Source organism: Homo sapiens, chromosome 12 (genome assembly GCF_000001405.40).
Source record: "Homo sapiens chromosome 12, GRCh38.p14 Primary Assembly".
Lineage (NCBI taxonomy): Eukaryota > Metazoa > Chordata > Mammalia > Primates > Hominidae > Homo > Homo sapiens.
The window spans coordinates 118,114,345-118,132,018 of record NC_000012.12 but is presented as its reverse complement, the minus strand read 5'-3'; the positions used below and the strand labels follow the sequence as shown (position 1 = coordinate 118,132,018).

The 17,674-nt window shown below is 46.8% G+C and overlaps 1 long non-coding RNA gene across 10 annotated transcripts in view, besides 9 other annotated features; it reads left to right on the top strand.

The window, feature by feature from the left end:
* Positions 1 to 17,674, top strand: part of LOC101928274 (uncharacterized) — a 21,648-nt gene extending 3,974 nt beyond the window's left edge. For 2 of the 10 annotated variants that reach the window (XR_945407.4, XR_007063476.1), the window contains 4 exons: positions 5,349 to 5,538; positions 10,401 to 10,518; positions 10,844 to 10,986; positions 14,137 to 17,674. This is a non-coding gene — a long non-coding RNA (uncharacterized LOC101928274). Of the gene's footprint in view, positions 1 to 5,348; positions 5,539 to 10,400; positions 10,519 to 10,843; positions 10,991 to 14,136 lie in introns of all 10 variants that reach the window. The other 8 variants (XR_945409.4, XR_007063477.1, XR_945408.4 and 5 more) reach the window with 5 other exon arrangements.
* Positions 4,969 to 5,505: an enhancer, noted in NCBI's record as "H3K4me1 hESC enhancer chr12:118564319-118564855 (GRCh37/hg19 assembly coordinates)". NCBI's record gives its function as "activates a minimal SCP1, AML or CMV promoter by ChIP-STARR-seq in naive H9 embryonic stem cells {active_cell/tissue: H9 hESC(naive)}" and the evidence as "EXISTENCE:reporter gene assay evidence [ECO:0000049][PMID:30033119]".
* Positions 5,681 to 5,975: an enhancer, noted in NCBI's record as "tiled region #10186; HepG2 Activating DNase matched - State 5:Enh". NCBI's record gives its function as "activates a minimal TATA promoter and a strong SV40 promoter by Sharpr-MPRA in HepG2 cells {active_cell/tissue: HepG2}" and the evidence as "EXISTENCE:reporter gene assay evidence [ECO:0000049][PMID:27701403]".
* Positions 8,386 to 9,098: an enhancer, noted in NCBI's record as "H3K27ac-H3K4me1 hESC enhancer chr12:118560726-118561438 (GRCh37/hg19 assembly coordinates)". NCBI's record gives its function as "activates a minimal SCP1, AML or CMV promoter by ChIP-STARR-seq in primed H9 embryonic stem cells {active_cell/tissue: H9 hESC(primed)}" and the evidence as "EXISTENCE:reporter gene assay evidence [ECO:0000049][PMID:30033119]".
* Positions 9,099 to 9,810: an enhancer, noted in NCBI's record as "H3K27ac-H3K4me1 hESC enhancer chr12:118560014-118560725 (GRCh37/hg19 assembly coordinates)". NCBI's record gives its function as "activates a minimal SCP1, AML or CMV promoter by ChIP-STARR-seq in primed H9 embryonic stem cells {active_cell/tissue: H9 hESC(primed)}" and the evidence as "EXISTENCE:reporter gene assay evidence [ECO:0000049][PMID:30033119]".
* Positions 10,524 to 11,235: an enhancer, noted in NCBI's record as "OCT4-NANOG-H3K27ac hESC enhancer chr12:118558589-118559300 (GRCh37/hg19 assembly coordinates)". NCBI's record gives its function as "activates a minimal SCP1, AML or CMV promoter by ChIP-STARR-seq in naive H9 embryonic stem cells {active_cell/tissue: H9 hESC(naive)}" and the evidence as "EXISTENCE:reporter gene assay evidence [ECO:0000049][PMID:30033119]".
* Positions 10,524 to 11,948: a biological region, named in NCBI's record as "OCT4-NANOG-H3K27ac hESC enhancers GRCh37_chr12:118557876-118558588 and GRCh37_chr12:118558589-118559300".
* Positions 10,841 to 11,135: an enhancer, noted in NCBI's record as "tiled region #576; K562 Activating DNase unmatched - State 5:Enh". NCBI's record gives its function as "activates a minimal TATA promoter and a strong SV40 promoter by Sharpr-MPRA in K562 cells {active_cell/tissue: K562}" and the evidence as "EXISTENCE:reporter gene assay evidence [ECO:0000049][PMID:27701403]".
* Positions 11,181 to 11,475: a silencer, noted in NCBI's record as "tiled region #8543; HepG2 Repressive non-DNase unmatched - State 6:EnhF, and K562 Repressive non-DNase unmatched - State 5:Enh". NCBI's record gives its function as "represses a minimal TATA promoter and a strong SV40 promoter by Sharpr-MPRA in HepG2 and K562 cells {active_cell/tissue: HepG2 | K562}" and the evidence as "EXISTENCE:reporter gene assay evidence [ECO:0000049][PMID:27701403]".
* Positions 11,236 to 11,948: an enhancer, noted in NCBI's record as "OCT4-NANOG-H3K27ac hESC enhancer chr12:118557876-118558588 (GRCh37/hg19 assembly coordinates)". NCBI's record gives its function as "activates a minimal SCP1, AML or CMV promoter by ChIP-STARR-seq in naive H9 embryonic stem cells {active_cell/tissue: H9 hESC(naive)}" and the evidence as "EXISTENCE:reporter gene assay evidence [ECO:0000049][PMID:30033119]".

Here is a 17,674-nt window from a genome sequence, read left to right as displayed (position 1 = left end):
CGGGTGGTTCACCTGAGGTCAGGAGTTGGAGAACAGGCTGGCCAACATGGTGAAATCCCTGTCTCTGTGAAAAATACAAAAATTACCCGGGCGTGGTGGTGAGCGCCTGGGATAATCCAAGCTACTCAGGAGGCTGAGGCAGGAGCATCGCTTGAACCCGGGAGGCGGAGGTTGCAGTGAGCCAAGATCGTGCCACTGCACTCCAGGCTGGGCGACACAGCAAGACTCCGTCTCAAAAAACAACAAAACAAAACAAAAATAATAATGAGGGAATTTTGGACAAAAACAAAGTTCTGTCCTTAGCTCGAGTTCAGAAACTGTTGTGGCCATGCCAGTGACTTGGAACTGCCACTCCAGGGGACCGAGGTGCTGGCTGCTGGCCAAGGATATGCACTGAGACACTGTTGTGAGAATTAACCATTAACAGGTCGCCGGGATTCCGTTTGTCACATTTTTCCTATTGAGACTTTTTTTTTCCCTTTTCTCTTTGAGAATTTCAAAGCATTTAAAAATACCCTCTATGTCCGGGCGCGGTGGCTCACGCCTGTAATCCCAGCACTTTGGAAGGCTGAGGCTGGTGGATCACGAGGTTAGGAGATCGAGACCATCCTGGCTAACACGGTGAAACCCCGTCTCTACTAAAAATACAAACAACTTAGCCGGGCGTGGTGGCGGGCACCTGTAGTCCCAGCTACTCGGGAGGCTGAGGCAGGAGAATAGCGTGAACCCGGGAGGCGGAGCTTACAATGAGCCGAGATCGCGCCACTGCACTCCAGCCTGGGTGATAGAGGGAGACTCTGTCTCAAAAAAAAAAAAAAAAAAAAAAAATACCCTCTATGTTCTCACTTAATCTCCGACAGTCCTTGGTTGATGCAGACGACCACACATCCAAAAGGAAACCAGGTATGTCAAATCATGCGTAAACTCGGGAAAGCCTCATCATGCAGACTTTAGCAATGTTAAATTAGTGATCATTCAGGCCAGGCGCAGTGGCTCACCCCTGTAATCCCAGCACTTTGGGAGGCCGAGGCGGGCAGATCGCTTGAGGCCAGAAGTTCAAGACCGGCCTGGCCAACATGGTGAAATCCCGTCTCCACTAAAAATACAAAAATTAGCCAGTCGTGGTGGTGGGCACCTGTAATCCCAGCTACTCGGGAGGCTGAGGCAGGAGAATGGCGTGAACCCAGGAGGTGGAGGTTGCAGTGAGCCAAGATCGCGCCACTGCACTCCAGCCTGGGTGACAGAGTGAGACCCTCTCTCAAAAAAAATAAAATTAGTGATCATTCAAACCAGAATCATGACAATCTTTGTGAAGAATGGCTTGCTTTGTGTCTTAAACAAGACAAGCTGCAGAATACCTGCCATGCCCACAGCCCCTAGGACATCCTCAGGGGCCCTTCCACTGACACCCCTCCCACCTTCATCCAATTCAAAGGCTTCTCAAACCACCTATGAAATGGCCTGACTCAACAGCATGACCTGGACCAATCAGAGTTGACTATTTTTGTTTGTTTGTTTTGTTTTTTGAGACACAGTTTCATTCTTGTTGCCCAGGCTGGAGTGCAATGGCACAATCTCGGCGCACCACAACCTCCGCCTCCCGGGTTCAAGCGATTCTCCTGCCTTAGCCTCCCAAGCAGCTGGGATTACAGGCATGCACCACCATGCCCGGCTAATTTTGTATTTTTAGTAGAGATGAGGTTTCTCCATGTTGGTCAGGCTGGTCTCGAACTCCCGACCTCAGGTGATCCGTTCACCTCGGCCTCCTAAAGTGCTGGGATTACAGGCATGAACCACTGCGCCCGGCCACTTATTTTTTTTAAAATCACAGTTTATCCTTTTATCTGTTGATGAACTTTGGGCTGTTTCCAGTTTTTTTACTACTATGAATAAACTCCTGTAAACATTCTAGTATATCTTTTTGTGGACATGTATCTTAATTTCTCTTGGGTAAATATCCAGGAGTAGGATTACTGGATTATATGGTGTTTAATTTTGTAAGAAACTGTCAAACATTTCTCCAAAGTGGGTGTACCTTTTTTTTAAGCTTTATTTATTTATTTTTATTATACTTTAAGTTCTAAGGTACATGTGCACAATGTGCAGGTTTATTACATATGTATACATGTGTCATGTTGGTGTGCTGCACCCATTAACTCATCATTTACATTAGGTATTTCGCCTAATGCTATCCCTCCCCCAACCCCACGACAGGCCCCAGTGTGTGATATTCCCCACCCTGTGTCCAAGTGTTCTCATTGTTCAATTCCCACCTATGAGTGAGAACATTCGGTGTTTGGTTTTCTGTCCTTCGACAGTTTGCTCAGAATGATGGTTTCCAGCTTCATCCCAAAGGACATGAACTCATGCTTTTTTATGGCTGCATAGTATTCCATGGTGTATATGTGCCACATTTTCTTAATCCAGTTTATCATTGATGGCCATTTGGGTTGGTTCCAAGTCTTTGCTATTGTGAATAGTGCCGCAATAAACATACATGTGCATGTGTCTTTATACTGGCATGATTTATAATCCTTTGGGTATATACCCAGTAATGGGATCGCTGGGTCAAATGGTATTTCTAGTTCTAGATCCTTGAGGAATCGCCACACTGTCTTCCACAATGGTTGAACCAACGGTGTAAAAGTGTTCCTATTTTTCCACATCCTCTCCAGCACCTGTTGTTTCCTGACTTTTTAATGATCGCCATTCTAACTGGTGTGAGATGGTATCTCATTGTGGTTTTGATTTGCATTTCTCTGATGGCCAGTGATGATGAGCATTTTTTCATGTGTCTGTTGGTTGCATAGATGTCTTCTTTTGAGAAGTGTCTGTTCATATCTTTTGCCCACTTTTTGATGGGGTTGTTTGATTTGTTTTGTAAATTTGTTTAAGTTCTTTGTAGATTCTGGATATTAGCCCTTTGTCAGATGGGTAGATGGCAAAAATTTTCTCCCATTCTGTAGGTTGCCTGTTCACTCTGATGGTAGTTTCTTTTGCTGTGCAGAAGCTCTTTAATTAGATCCCATTTTTCTATTTTGGCTTTTGTTGCCATTGCTTTTGGTGTTTTAGACATGAAGTCCTTGCCCATGCCTATGTCCTGAATGGTATTGCCTAAGTTTTCTTCTAGGGTTTTTATGGTTTTAGGTCTAACATTTAAGTCTTTAATCCATCTTGAATTAATTTTTGTATGAGGTGTAAGGAAGGGATCCAGTTTCAGCTTTCTACATATGGTTAGCCAGTTTTCCCAGCACCATTTATTAAATAGGAAATCCTTTCCCCATTTCTTGTTTTTGATAGGTTTGTCAAAGATCAGATGGTTGTAGATGTGTGGTGTTATTTCTGAGGGCTCTGTTCTGTTCCATTGGTCTATATCTCTGTTTTGGTACCAGTACCATGCTGTTTTGGTTACTGTAGCCTTGTAGTATAGTTTGAAGTCAGGTAGCGTGATGCCTCCAGCTTTGTTCTTTTTGCTTAAGATTGTCTTGGCAATGCAGGCTCTTTTTTGGTTCCATATGAACTTTAAAGTAGTTTTTTCCAATTCTGTGAAGAAAGTCATTGGTAGCTTGATGTGGATGGCATTGTCAGATTCGACTTTTTAATCAGCACTAGTGCCTAAGGAGAAACAGCTGTTGTGAATGGTAGGAGCTAATATAGAATGGAGGTGATACTTAGAGACTACAGAGGGGCCATCAAAAGCTTTGTAGGGCCGGGCATGGTGGCTCACACCTGTAATCCCAGCTCTTTGTAAGGCCAAGGTAGGAGGATCGCTTGAGCTCTGGAGTTTGAGACCAGCCTGAGCAACATAGTGAGACCCTGTCTCTACACAAAATACAAAAAAAAATTAGCTGGGCCTAGTAGCATGGGCCTGTAGTCCCAGCCCCACAAGGCTCTTAATGGTCTCACATTCCTGAGCTCAAGTGATCTCCTGCCTTGGCCTCTCAAAGTGCTGGCATTGCAGGCATGAGCCACTGCGCCTGGACAAACTGGTATTTTAAAAGAAGAAGGCCAGGTGCAGTGGCTCATGCCTGTAACCTCAGCACTTTGGGAGGCTGAGACGGGTGGATCACCCGAGGTCAGGAGTTTGAGACCAGCTTGGTCATCATGGTGAAACCCTGTCTACTAAAAATACAAAAATTAGCCAGGCCCGGTGGTGGGCACGTGTAATCCCAGCTATTTTGGAGGCTGAGTCAGGAGAACTGCTTGAACCCGGGAAGCGGAGGTTGCAGTGAGCTGGTATCGCACCACTGCACTCCAGCCTGGGCAACAAGAGCGAGACTCAGTCTCAAAAAATAAAAAAATAAAAAGAAGAAGAAGAAGAAGAAAAGTAATTTGTTCATGTACTGAGATGCTGGTGGGTGATTGGCTTCAGGAGTGTCTGGATCCAGGGACTTACCTAATACCTTAGGTATCTGTCTCCCTCCTGTGTTTCCACCTGTGGGGTGGTTTCAATTTCAAGTAGACTCCTCCTTCATGTTTCCAGATAACCATTCTGGTAGACAGTTTCTAAGATGGACCCAGTGAACCCCACGTCCTGGTATTCATGGCCCCGTGTGCTCCCCTCCCCTTGAGTAACTTGCTTCTAATCAATAACATAACATGTAAACGGGATGTCACTTCTGATTAAGTTATGTAAGGCTGGGTCAGGTGCAGCAGCTCACGCCTATAATCCTAGCACTTTGGGAAGCCGAGGCAGGAGGATTGCTTAAGCCCAGGAGCTCAAGACCAGCCTGGGCAACATGGTAAGACCCCCATCTCCCCCAAAAATTAAAAAATTAGCCAGGTGTGGTGGCACACCTGTAGTCCCAACTACTGAGGAGGCTGAGGCTGGAGGATGGCTTGAGCCTAAGAGTTCAGGGCTACAGTGAACCATCATCACACCACTGCGCCCCAGCCTGGGCGACAGAGCAAGACCCTATCTCAAACAACATATGACGTGCGGACAGGATGTCACTTCCGATTCCGTTGTATAAGGCTGTGGTGGGCTGGGCGCGGTGGCTCACGCCTGTAATCCCACCACTTTGGGAGGCCGAGGCGGGCAGATCACGAGGTCAGGAGATGGAGACCATCGTGGCTAACACGGTGAAACCCCGTCTCTACTAAAAATACAAACAATTAGCCGGGCGTGGTAGCGGGCGCCTGTAGTCCCAGCTACTCGGGAGGCTGAGGCAGGAGAATGGCGTGAACCCGGGAGGCGGAGCTTGCAGTGAGCCGAGATCGCGCCACTGCAGTCCAGCCTGGGCGACAGAGCAAGACTCCGTCTCAAAAAAAAAAAAATAAATAAATAAATACATAAATAAGGCTGTGGCTTCCATCTTGCTAGCACGCGCTCTCCATTACTTTCTCAGCTTGCAGGCCTCTGGGAAGCAAGCCATCGTGTGGCAGAGGCCCAGGTGGCAAGGAACCAAGGGCGGCTTCTGGCCAACAGCCAGCGAGGACCTGAGACCGTAGCCCAACACCCCTCCAGGAACTGAATTTTGCCAGCAACCAGTGAGTGACCTTGGAAGTGGATCCTTCCCCCGAAAGCCCGGCTTTCAGGTGAGTGGGGAGTACGAGTCCTGGCTGAAAACCTAGGTGAGATTCTTCAGGCCTGCCTGACTGTGGGCAATGATGAAGGCTTTCCCTGGCCGGCCTCGGGGAAAGCTGCCCTCCCCACACCACACTGGGTGCCCAGCCTATGCACTGCAGTGTCTGAAGGGAACTGGAGTCAGAGACTCCAGTGGCCCTGGCCGGCCATGCTCTTGAACACATTTGCATTCCTAGCCAGGCAGCACCTTTGATCCTAGGTCTCTTTATCTGGGGCCTTGGGCAGAGGTCTTCTATGGGGCTTCTGCCAAGGCCCCCTTCTAGGGATGGGAGCGGGAAACCTTGAACCCACTGTTTCCTACCCTGATTTCATACCTAGTACTTTTCCACTCTTAGCCCTTATACCATCACAGTCAAGTGATAAAGCCTTTCCTCTTTCATTTTTGGCTTATTGCTTTCTATCTTTTTTATTATTTTTTTTATTTTTTGAGACAGGGCCTCGCTTTGTCACCCAAGCTGGAGTGCAGTGGTGCAATCATGGTTCACTGCAGCCTCAACCATGTGGGCTCAAGTGATCCTCCCACCTCGACCTCTTGAGTAGCTAGGACTACAGGTGTGCACCACCATGCCCTGCTAATTTTTTTATTGTTTTTTTTTTTTTTTTTTTTTTTTTTTTGGAGAGACAGAGTCTCACTATGTTGTCGAGGCCGGTCTCAAACTCCTGGGCTCAAGTGATCCTCCTGCCTTGGCCTCTCAAAGCGCTTGGATTACAGGTATGAGCCCAATACACCTGGCCAATGGCTTATTGCTTAATTGGCTATTTGGACACCTGACACCTCAGCTTGCCCTCCCAGCTTGACTAAGGTTTTGACAATGAGACCCGAGACCTGGCTGAGACCTTATTGAAACCTTGCGAGACCCTGGGTCAGCGGAAGACCCAGGTCTGGTATCCCCAAACCCCTGATCTATAGAAATTATAAGATAATAAAGGCCGGGTGTGGTGGCTCACGCCTGTAATCCCAGCACTTTGAGAGGCCGAGGCAGGCAGATCACCTGAGGTCAGGAGTTCCAGACCAGCCTGACCAACATGGAGAAATCCCATCTCTACTAAAAATACAAAATTACAGCTGGGTGTGGTGGCTCACCCCTGTAATCCCAGCATTTTGGGAGGCTGAGGCGGGTGGATCACGAAGTCAGGAGATCAAGACCATCCTGGCCAACATAGTGAAACCCCGTCTCTACTAAAAATACAAAAAAAAAAAAAAAGGTGAGCGTGGTAGCAGGTGCCTGTAATCCCAGCTACTCAGGAGGCTGAGGCAGGAGAATTGCTTAAACCCAGGAGGCAGAGGTTGCAGTGAGCTGAGATCGTGCCACTGCACTCCAGCCGGGGAGACAGAGCTAGACTCCCTGGGTGACAGAGTGAGATTTTGTCTCAAAAAAAAAAAAGAAAGAAAGAAAAGAAAAAGAAATACAGGTAGGAAACGTAAAGGCAAAAGATGTCTTCTGCAAGTAGCAAATGAGTGATGCACACACCAATGCAAAGAGCTTGTTAATCAGCCTAAGAGAGCAGCATCTAAGTAGCAGGTGAGTAAGCCCCTTGCGTGTGTACACAGCTAATATTAATTATGTATGATACTGGCCACTTAATTAAAACAGACTCCATCTCTACTTATCAAAATGTTATGAGTTTCTGCAAGCTCCGGAATTTTCCGCAAGCTCCGGAAATTAAGAAACTGTATTCATTAAAACACATCAACCTGGAATTTATTTCTACTTCTCCAACTGTTTTGACTTAGTCATGTTTATCTGTAGTGAACATTTGACCAAAAGTTCAAGGTAAGTAAACAAAGAGATTAGATTAAAAAGGGTTGCCAAGCCAATTCCCTAGAGTTGGATCAAAGTTCTAGAAGGGCAAATGTCACATATACAGAAATATGACTGGGCACCATGGCTCACACCTGTAATCCCAGCACATTGGGAAGCCAAGGCAGGTGGATCATTTGAGGGTAGGAATTTGAGACCAGCCTGGCCAACATGGTGAAACCCTGTATCTACTAAAAATACAAAAAAGCCGCACATGGTGACACACACCTGGAATCCCAGCTACTCAGGAGGCTGAGGCGGGAGAATTGCTTGGACCTGGGAGGTGGAGGTTGCAGTGAGCCGAGATCATGCCACTGCACTCCAGCCTAGGCAATAGAGCTAGACTCCATGACAAAAAAAAAAAGAAGAAAAAATTCAAAAATTAGCTGGTGGGGTGGCAGGGTGCCTGTTGTTTCAGCTATTCAAGAGGCTGAGGTGGGCCGGTCGTGGTGGCTCACACCTGTAATCTCAGCACTTTGGGAGGCCCAGGTGGGTGGATTACCTGAGGTCAGGAGTTCGAGACCAGCCTGACCAACATGGAGAAACCCCATGTCTACTAATAATACAAAATTAGCCGGGCGTGGTGGCGCATGCCTGTAATCCCAGGTACTGGAGAGGCTGAGTCAGGAGAATCGCTTGAACCAGGGAGGTGGAGGTTGCGGTGAGCCCAGATCATGCCATTGCACTCCAGCCTGGGCAACAAGAGTGAAACTCTGTCTCAAACAAAACAAAACAAACAAACAAATATATATGTATGTGTGTGTGTGTGTGTATATATATATATATATATACACACACATATATACACACACTCATACACATACATACATGCCTGGCAAAGTGGCTCACATCTTTAATCCCAGCACTTTGGGAGGCCAAGGCGGGCAGATTGCTTGAACCCAGGAGTTTGAGACCAGCTGAGCAACATGGCGAAACCCCATTTGTACAAAAAATGCAAAATTTAGCCAGGTGTGGTGGCCCTCACCTGTGGTCCCAGCTACTCCAGAGGCTGAGGTAAGAGGGTCACTTGAGCCTAGGAGGTGGAGGTTGCAGTAAGCCAAGATCACGCCACTGCACTCCAGTCTGGGTGACAGAGAGAGGCTCAAAAAACAACAACATGTAGTGTGTGACCTTATCTATGTCTTTAAATATATTTATGTTAATGTGTCCATATAATGCATATGTACATAAATGCATATCTGAAAGAATAAAAAACAAATAGTTAACTGTGGTATTTTTTAGAGTGAGATAAAAAATGTAGAAAGATTTTTTTCTTTTTTTTTTTTTGAGACGGAGTTTTGCTCTTGTCGCCCAGGCTGGAGTGCAACGGCACGATCTCGGCTCACTGCAACCTCCACCTCCCGGGTTCAAGCGATTCTCCTCCCTCATCCCCCCGAGTAGCTGGGATTACAGGCATGCGCCACCACGCCTGGCTAATTTTGTATTTTTAGTAGAGACAGGGTTTCTCCATGTTGGTCAGGCTGGTCTCAAACTCCCAACCTCAGGTGATCCGCCCACCTCGGCCTCCCAAAGTGCTGGGATTACAGGCGTGAGCCTCTGCTCCCAGCCTGCTGGGAGCTTTTTTGAGTAAGGTATGCAAAAGGAGAGAGCCCTGGTGATCAAGGCTGCTTGGGTTCCTGGGCTGATCAAACTTCTGGGTGCCATCAAGAAACTAAGGATCGGCTGGGCATGGGAGTTCACGCCTGGGAGGCATAGGCAGGTGAATCGCTTGAGCCCAGGAGTTTGAGACCAACCAGGGCAACACAGTGAGAGCACATCCCTACAAAGAATACAAAAAATTAGCTGGGCATAGGGCACGCACCTGTGGTCCCAGGTACTTGGGAGGCTGAGGTGGGAGGATAGCTTGAGCCAGGGAGGTGCAGGCTGCAGTGAGCCGTGATCACACCACTCAATTCCAGCCTGGGTGACAGAGTGAGACCCTGTCTCAAACAAAGACTTTATCTAAGAACTGTTTATCCTGAAGTAATTTAGTGTGCTGCCTCCTCCAGAGACTTCCTCTTTAAAAAAATAAAACTAGGCCAGGCATGGTGGCTCACGCCTGTAATCCCAGCACTTGGGAGGCCAAGGCAGGTGGACCGCTTGGGGTCAGGAGTTTGGGACCAGCCTGAGCAACATGGCAAAAACCCATCTCTACCAAAATACAAAAATAAGCTGGGCGTGGTGGAGGGCGCCTGTAATCCCAGCCTCTCAGGAGGCTGAGGCAGGAGGATTGCTTGAAACTGGGAGGCGGATGTTGCAATGAACTGGGGTCACACCACTGGACTCCAGCCTGGGCGAGAGAGCAAGACCCTGTCTGAAAAAAAAAATTATAAATAAATAATTAAAAATAAAAATTAAATTAAAATTAAAATAAATCCAGGAAGCACAATGTTTAGCCAAAAGAATAAATCTATGGCTGCAGAATTTTGAACAGAAACAGGCCAGCAACAAAAATTATTTGCGGCCGAGCGTGGTGACTCATGCCTGTAATCCCAGCAGTTTGGGAGGCCGAGGCGGGTGGATCACAAGGTCAGGAGTTTGAGACCAGCCTGGCCAATATGGTGAAACCCCATCTCTACTAAAAATATAAAAATTAGCCGGGCATGGTGGTGGGTGCCTGTAGTCCCAGCTACTCAGGAGGCTGAGGCAGGAGAATCCCTTGAACCCAGGAGGCAGAGGTTGCAGTGAGCCGAGATCGCGCCACTGCACTCCAGCCTGGTGACAGAGCTTTTTTCAAAATGGGGGACTCACTGTGTTGCCCAGGCTGTTCTCAAACTCCTGGCCTCAAACCATCCTCCCACCCCAACCTCCCAAAGTGCCAGGATTACAGGCGTGAGCCAGCCAGCCTTATTGTGGTTTTGATTTACATTTCTCTGATGATGAATGATGTTGAGCATTTTTTCCTGTTTGTTGGCTGCTAATATGTCAAGAAGTGTATTTATATTAATAATTATCAATTATTTATTATCTCCTCCCTGCTGGCAACTTTTACTGACTGCCATAAACTGAAGCTCAGAGAATGGAAAAATATCTCTTCCTAAAGACACAGAGAAACATAAACAAACCTGACCAATAGAAGGACCAAAACCTCTGCACAGTGCCTCACCCCTCGGAGGAATTAACAAAAATGTAGGTAGCTGTTGGAACAAAGAAACAGTAGTCCAGAGCATTTTGTGTGTGGGATAAAGGTCCTCTAATCTATCTAGTTCCCACAGATAGCACAGGACAGACACCAATGTTCCCGATATTCATACACAAAAGTTCATTCTTTGAATTATCACAAGAAAATACTGCATGGTGCATACTGTGCTTTGTTGAATGGGTCTGGGAGCTATATGTGATACATTTTAGAAATATCAGGATTGGACAAGCGGGTGAGCCCTGCCTTTGTCCATGAGCTGTGACCTTGAGCAAGCTGTTTAACAACTCTGGGACACTTTTCCTCCTCTGGAAGGTGAAGGTTATTCGTTGAACCAATAATCTCTGAAATTTTTGGAGTTCCATGAAGCTTGCACCAACTATTATCCCTGAGATGACCTTGGCTGTGGAACCCAGATTCTGTTCAGGGCCGAGAGCGCCACCTGGTGATTCCAGTTTGTAAGTGAGTCACCCCGCCCCCCCGCCCCACTTCCTGGGCCAGACTGACCCAGTTTAGAATTCCAGTTTAGACCAGCAGGATTGGCTTTTTTGTTTTGTTGGGGCTCAGAAATGGAGGCTTTGATACGCTGAACTGAAGAAGGATCTCTCTGATATTCCCTCCCATCCAAAAGCACAGGAAGTTCCTTTATCCACCTAAAATCCAGACCCCCCAATTAGAAACAATTGTTCTTTCTTTCCCTCTCTGTTATCTCTTTATTGCAGAAAGGAAGACACAGAAGGTAACCACACCTGAACAGATCCTTTCATAAGATAATGTCAGGCTCATTCACATTTCAAAGACATCTATTTACAAGTTAATTTCTCTTCTAGTTCCTGACCCATTCATTTCCCTAGTAATCCTTTATTTCCCCCAAATTCCTTTTTTCCCTCCAATAACCCGTTTTGCCAGGATGGAAGCCCCTGTCTTTCTGTAATCTCAAAATGATATTTAATGTTTCACACTCCCTTGAGGTGTGGGTAATTCCTCTGTAGTTTCCCCTCTTGTTCACGTTAATAAATCTAGATGCCTTTTCTCCAATTAATCTGCCTTTTGTTGAGTTGATCTTTCTTTCTTTTTATTTATTTATTTATTTTTAACCTAAAGCTGGCATCTGGTTCCAGGCTTCTTTCCTCAAAAAATTTCTAACTAGGATTTCTTTTCTTCTCTTCTCTTTTTTTTTTTTTTTTTTTGAGATGGCGTCTAGCTCTGTCACCCAGGCTGGAGTGCAGTAGCACAATCTCGGCTGACTGCAACCTCGGTCTCCTGGGTTCAAGCGATTCTCCTGCCTCAGCCTCCCAAGTAGCTGGGAATACAGGCGTGTACCGCCATGCCCAGCTAATTTTTATATTTTTAGTAGAGACGGGGTTTCACCATGTTGGCCAGGCTGGTCTCCTGACCTCAAGTGATCCGCCCACCTCGGCCTCCCAAAGCGCTGTGATTACAGGCATGAGCCAACGCGCCTGGTCTGTAACAAGAATTCCTATACATCTCTGAAATGCATGCATATCAAAACTCATTGTGCAAACCCTGGCTGACATTAAGGGACCAAAATGTCTACAAATGTAATCACGTATCGTGGCCTACACAGCTAATATGGTCCAAATTACCCTTAAGCTCCTGCTTTAAGGTCCATAAATACCTGGAAGGAAAATTCACCGCAGGGCACTCAGTCCTCTCATGCTGAGGAGTCCCGCAGCGCTTTTATGCAGTGTTCTTTCTAATATATTTTTTTCTTTTTCAAACCTATGCTGACATCAGTAAATTCTTTGTACTAACCTACGACCTGCGAGCCCACCACTTGCCAGTGCCGGGCCCTGACATCTCGTCCAGCAGAGACGGTCTTGTTCTGTTGCCCAGCTAGAGGGCAGTGGTGTGATCATAGCTCACTGCAGCCTCGAATTCCTGGGCTCAAGTGATCCTCCCACCTTAGCCTCCTGAATAGCTGGGACCACAGGAACGCACCACCACACCCAGCTAATTTTATAATTTATTGTAAAGATGGGTCTAACCATGTTGCCCAGGCTTATCAGAAAGTTCTTAATCTCCGTAACCCCCAACTCCAGTTTAAGAACAACTACTGGCCACACATGGTGACATGCCTGTAAACCCAGCACTTTGGGAGGCTGAGGCGGGTGGATCACCTGAGGTCAGGAGTTCGAGACCAGCCTGGCCAACATGGTATAACCCTGTCTCTACTAAAAATACAAAAATTAGCCGGGCATGGTGGCACACGCCTGTAATCTCAGCTACTCGGGAGGCTGAGGCAGGAGAATCGCTTGAACCCAGGAGGCAGAGGTTTCAGTGAGCCAAGATCGTGCCATTGCACTCCAGCCTGGGATACAGAGTGAGACTCCTTCTAAAAAAAAAAAAGAAGGTGCCGGGCGCGGTGGCTTACGCCTGTAATCCCAGCACTTTGGGAGGCCGAGGTGGGCGGATCACGAGGTCAGGAGATCGAGACCATCCTGGCTAACCCGGTGAAACCCCGTCTCTACTAAAAATACAAAAAAATTAGCCAGGTGTGGTGGCGGGCGCCTGTAGTCCCAGCTACTCGGGAGGCTGAGGCAGGAGAATGGTGTGAACCCGGGAGGCGGAGCTTGCAGTGAGCCGAGATCACGCCACTGCACTCTAGGCTGAGCGACAGAGCGAGACTCCGTCTCAAAAAAAAAAAAAAAGAACCACTACTGTAGGGAATGCTATAACCCAGGGCAGCATTTTATAAACATGGACTTGAGGCTATGACTTTATCTGGAAAGTTATTTCACTTCCCTGAGCCTCAGCTTCCTCACCTGTAAAACGATAATGTAACTGCCCATTGGGTTCACCTTGCCTGCTGCCTAGACAGAGCGGATTTATTAAGACAGGGGAGGCCGGGCATAGTGGCTCACACCTGTAATCCTAGCACTTTGGGAGGCCAAGGCCGGCATATCGCCCGAGGTCAGGAATTCGAGACCAGCCTGGCCAACATAGTGAAACCCCGTCTCTACTAAAAATACAAAAATTAGCTGGGCATGGTGGCAGGCGCCTGTAATCCCAGCTACTCAGGAGGCTGAGGCAGGATAATCGCTTGAACCCGGGAGGCGGAGGTTGCAGTGAGCCGAGATCACACCATTGCACTCCAGCTTGGGGGACAAGAACGAGACTTCATCTCAAAAAAAAAAAAAAGAAAAAAGAAAAAAAGAAGGGAATTGCAACGGAGAAAGAGTAATTCATGCGGAGCTGGCTATGCGGGAGACCGGAGTTTTACTGTTACTGAAATTAGTCTCTCGGAGCATTCAGGGATCAGGGTTTTTAAAGATAACTTGGCGGGTTGGGGCTTGGGAAGTGGGGAGTGCTGATTGGTCAGGTTGGAGATAGAATCAGGGGATCGAAGTGAGTTTTTCTTGCTGTCTTCTGCTCCTGGGTGGGATGGCAGAGCTGGTTGAGCCAGATTACCGGTCTGGGTGGTATCAGCTGATCCATCCATCAAGTGCAGGGTCTGAAAATTTCCCAAGCTCTGATCTTAGGTTTTACAATAGTGATGTTATTTCCAGGAGTAATTTGGGGAAGTTCAAACTCTTGGAGCCAGAGGCTGCATGTCCCCTAAACTGTAATTTTTTTTTTTTTTTTAGACGGAGGCTGGTGGGACCTCAACCCCAGCTGGTATCCAGGCTCTTGACACCATCTGGAGAAGGAATTCAAGAGTGTGTCAGAAAATGATGAAAGTACAAAGATTTATTGCAAAGCGAAAAATACACACTCAAGAAAGGGGAGTATGGGTGGACTCAAGACAGAGTCCGATGGGACTTGGGGTTTCTACCTTTTGGGTTTCTTTTTTTTTTTTTTTTGATATGGAGTCTCGCACTGTTGCCCAGGCTGGAGCGCAGTGGCGTGATTTTGGCTCACTGCAACCTCTGCCTCCCGGGTTAAAACGATTCTCCTGCCTCAGCGTCCCAAGTAGCTGGGATTACAGGCTCCCACCACCATGCCCGGCTAATTTTTGTATTTTTAGTAGAGACGAGGCCTCACCATATTGGCCAGGCTGTTCTCGAACTCCGGACCTTAGGTGATCTGCCTGCCTCAGCCTCCCAAAGTGCTGGGATTACAGGCGTGAGCCACCATGCCCAATGGGTGTGGGATTTAGTATATTAATGAGTGTATAATGAGGTCCTTGGTGAAACCTACATCAAATCCAGCACCGTGTTGGGTCCAGTCTGTCTTAGCCAGCTTGGTCCACACCCTGGTTTTTTAGGGTCTTATTGGCCCCTTACTTCTGCAGCAAAAGTTTCCTTTTGCTAGTCATGTGAAACTGCCACCTGGAATTTTCTATTCTCTAGTGACCACCCTGTATTATTCCTGTCTCACTGGGACCCTAAGAAATTGGGAATTCCAACTACACATCCAAAATAGTTTGACTAAAACTGTTGAAAAAAGAAAAAAATAATGGCATAAAGTATTGCTTGACTAAATTCCAGCCAGGTGCATTGGCCACTTTAGGTCGGGTGTGGTGGCTCATGCTTGTAATCCCAGCATTTTGGGAGGCTGAGGCGGGAGGATCACTTGAGGTCAGGAGTTCCAAACCAGTCTGGCCAAAATGGTAAAACCCCCTCTCTACTAAAAATACAAAAATTAGCCGGACCTGGTGGCGGAAGCCTGTAATCCCAGCTACTCTGGAGGCTGAGGCACGAAAATTGCTTGAACCCAGGAGGTGGAGGTTGCATTGAACCAAGATCATACCACTGCACTCTAGCCTGTGTGACAGAGAAAGATTCCGTCTCAAGAAACAAAAACAAAAATGAAAAACAAACAAAAAGAAAGCCCATTCTATCTTTTTTATTTTTTATTTTTTTGAGACAGGGTCTCGCTCTGTCACTCAGGCTGGAGTGCCACAGCGCGATCTCTGCTCACTACAACCTCCATCTCCCAGGCTCAAGCACTCCTCCCACCTCAGCCTCCTGAGTAGCTGGGACCACAGGCACAGAAACCCCACTGTAAATAAAGAGAGGTAGGCTTTTAAAAATGTCACTCTGTTCACAGTAAGGCAAGCAAGGGAAGCAAAATCAATTTCTTTCTAGAGGTGGGATAATGGGTAGGGAGTGGAAGACTTTAGGAAAGAGGTGCCCCAGTTTCTGAGTCACTTCATGGCTTCAATATTCATTGACTATCAATCAACAGATGAATGGATATACAAAAGGTGGTATCTCTGTTGCAGCAGGTAGTTAGTCAGAGCTGAGCAGGGAAGGAGAGGCTCCTCCGCCCCATCAGGAGATGATCAGGCAGTTGTTAAACTGTCTCTCTCAAATAATCATTGGTTGCAGCCGATGCCAGGGAAAGACAGTCTCCCAGTAGATAGAAACGCCAGAAACTGGTGATCAGCAGCTTCCCAGTAAGATCTCAGGAGGTGGGTGAGTGGGCTTAAGCATGTGCATGAAGAGGCAAAATGGTTGAGCTTAGCTGGTACATGACCTTCCTCTAGGAACACTCAACTGATAAGGGAAGAACACCTCAAGTGAGCACACATATAGCTTCAGTAAACACACTCACATGCAGCCCCTCCCAAGTGCTGGCAGGCCATTGTACATGCAGACTGCCAACATATAAAACCACAAGTCAAAGGTCAAACCATGCACTTGAATCTCTCAAGGTCCCTACTGGCCCTCTTCCACGTGTACTTTATTTCCTTGCATTCCTGTTCTAAAACTTTTTTTTTTTTTTTTTTGAGACGGAGTTTCGCTCTTGTTGCTCAGGCTGGAGTGCAATGGCGCGATCTCAGCTCACAGCAACCTCCACCTCCCAGGTTCAAGCCATTCTCCTGCCTCAGCCTCCCGAGTAGCTGGGATTATAGGCATGTGCCATCATGCCCGGCTAATTTTATATTTTTAGTAGAGACAGGGTTTCTCCATGTTGGTCAGGCTGGTCTCGAACTCCGGACCTCAGGTGTTCTGCCCACCTCCCAAAGTGCTGGGATTACAGGCGTGAGCCACCATGCCCAGCTAAAACTTTTTAATAAACTTTCACTCCTGCTGTGAAACTTGCCTTGGTTTCTTACTCTGTCTTATGCCCCTTGGTTGAATTCTCTCTTCTGAGGAGGCAAGGATTCAGGTTGCTGCAGGCCCGTATGGATTCACTGCTACTAACATCTCCATACAACAGAATATAATTTGGCCATAAAATGAAATGAAGTATTGATACAAGCTACAATGTAGATGAACCTTGAGAACATTGCGTTAAGTGAAAGAAGCCAGTCACAACATATATTGCTTGCTTCTGTTAACATGAAATGTCTGGAATAGGCAAAACCATAGAGACAGAAAGTAGATTCATGATTGCTGGGGGTTGGAGGGGGTGGGGAAATTGTGAGTGTGTCTTAGCCTGTTTTCTGTTGCATATATACCACAGACTGGGTAGGGTAATTTATAAAGAAAAAAAGTATATTTAGTACATGGTTCTGGAGACTGAGAAGTCCAAGAGCATGGAACAAGCATCTGGTGAGGACCTTCTTGCTGTATCATAACATAACAGAGGGCATCACATGGCAAGAGGACAAGAGCAAGAGAGCCAGAGAGCGCTTGCTTTTATAACAAAACCACTCCCACGATGGCAACACTAATCCATTCTTGAGGGTAGAGGGACTGAGTTTCCAACACATGAACTTTTGGAGGACACATTCAAACCATAGCAAGGTGATAGCTAAAGGGTATGGGGTGTCTTTCTGGAGTGATGAAAATCTAAAATTGATGGTAGTTATGGTTGTACAACCTTGTGACTATGCTAAAAGCCATTGAATTGTAGACTTTAACTGAGAGAGTTCTATGGGATGAATTATATCTCAATAAAGCTGTTATCAGCAGAGGGTGGTGGCTCATGCCTGTAATCCCAGCACTTTGGGAGGCCAAGGCAGGTGGATCACCTGAGGTCAGGAGTTCAAGACCAGCCTGGCCAATATGGTAAAACCCCATCTCTAATTAAAAAATACAAAAATTAGCCGGGTGTGGTGTTGAGCACCTGTAATCCCAGGTACTCGGGAGGCTGAGGCAGGAGAATCACTTGAACCTGGGAAGCGGAGATTGCAGTAAGCCAAGATTGAGCCACTGCACTCCAGCCTGGGCTACGAAGGAAGACTCTGTCTCAAAATAAAATAAAATAAAAATAAAGCTGCTATCAAAAAAA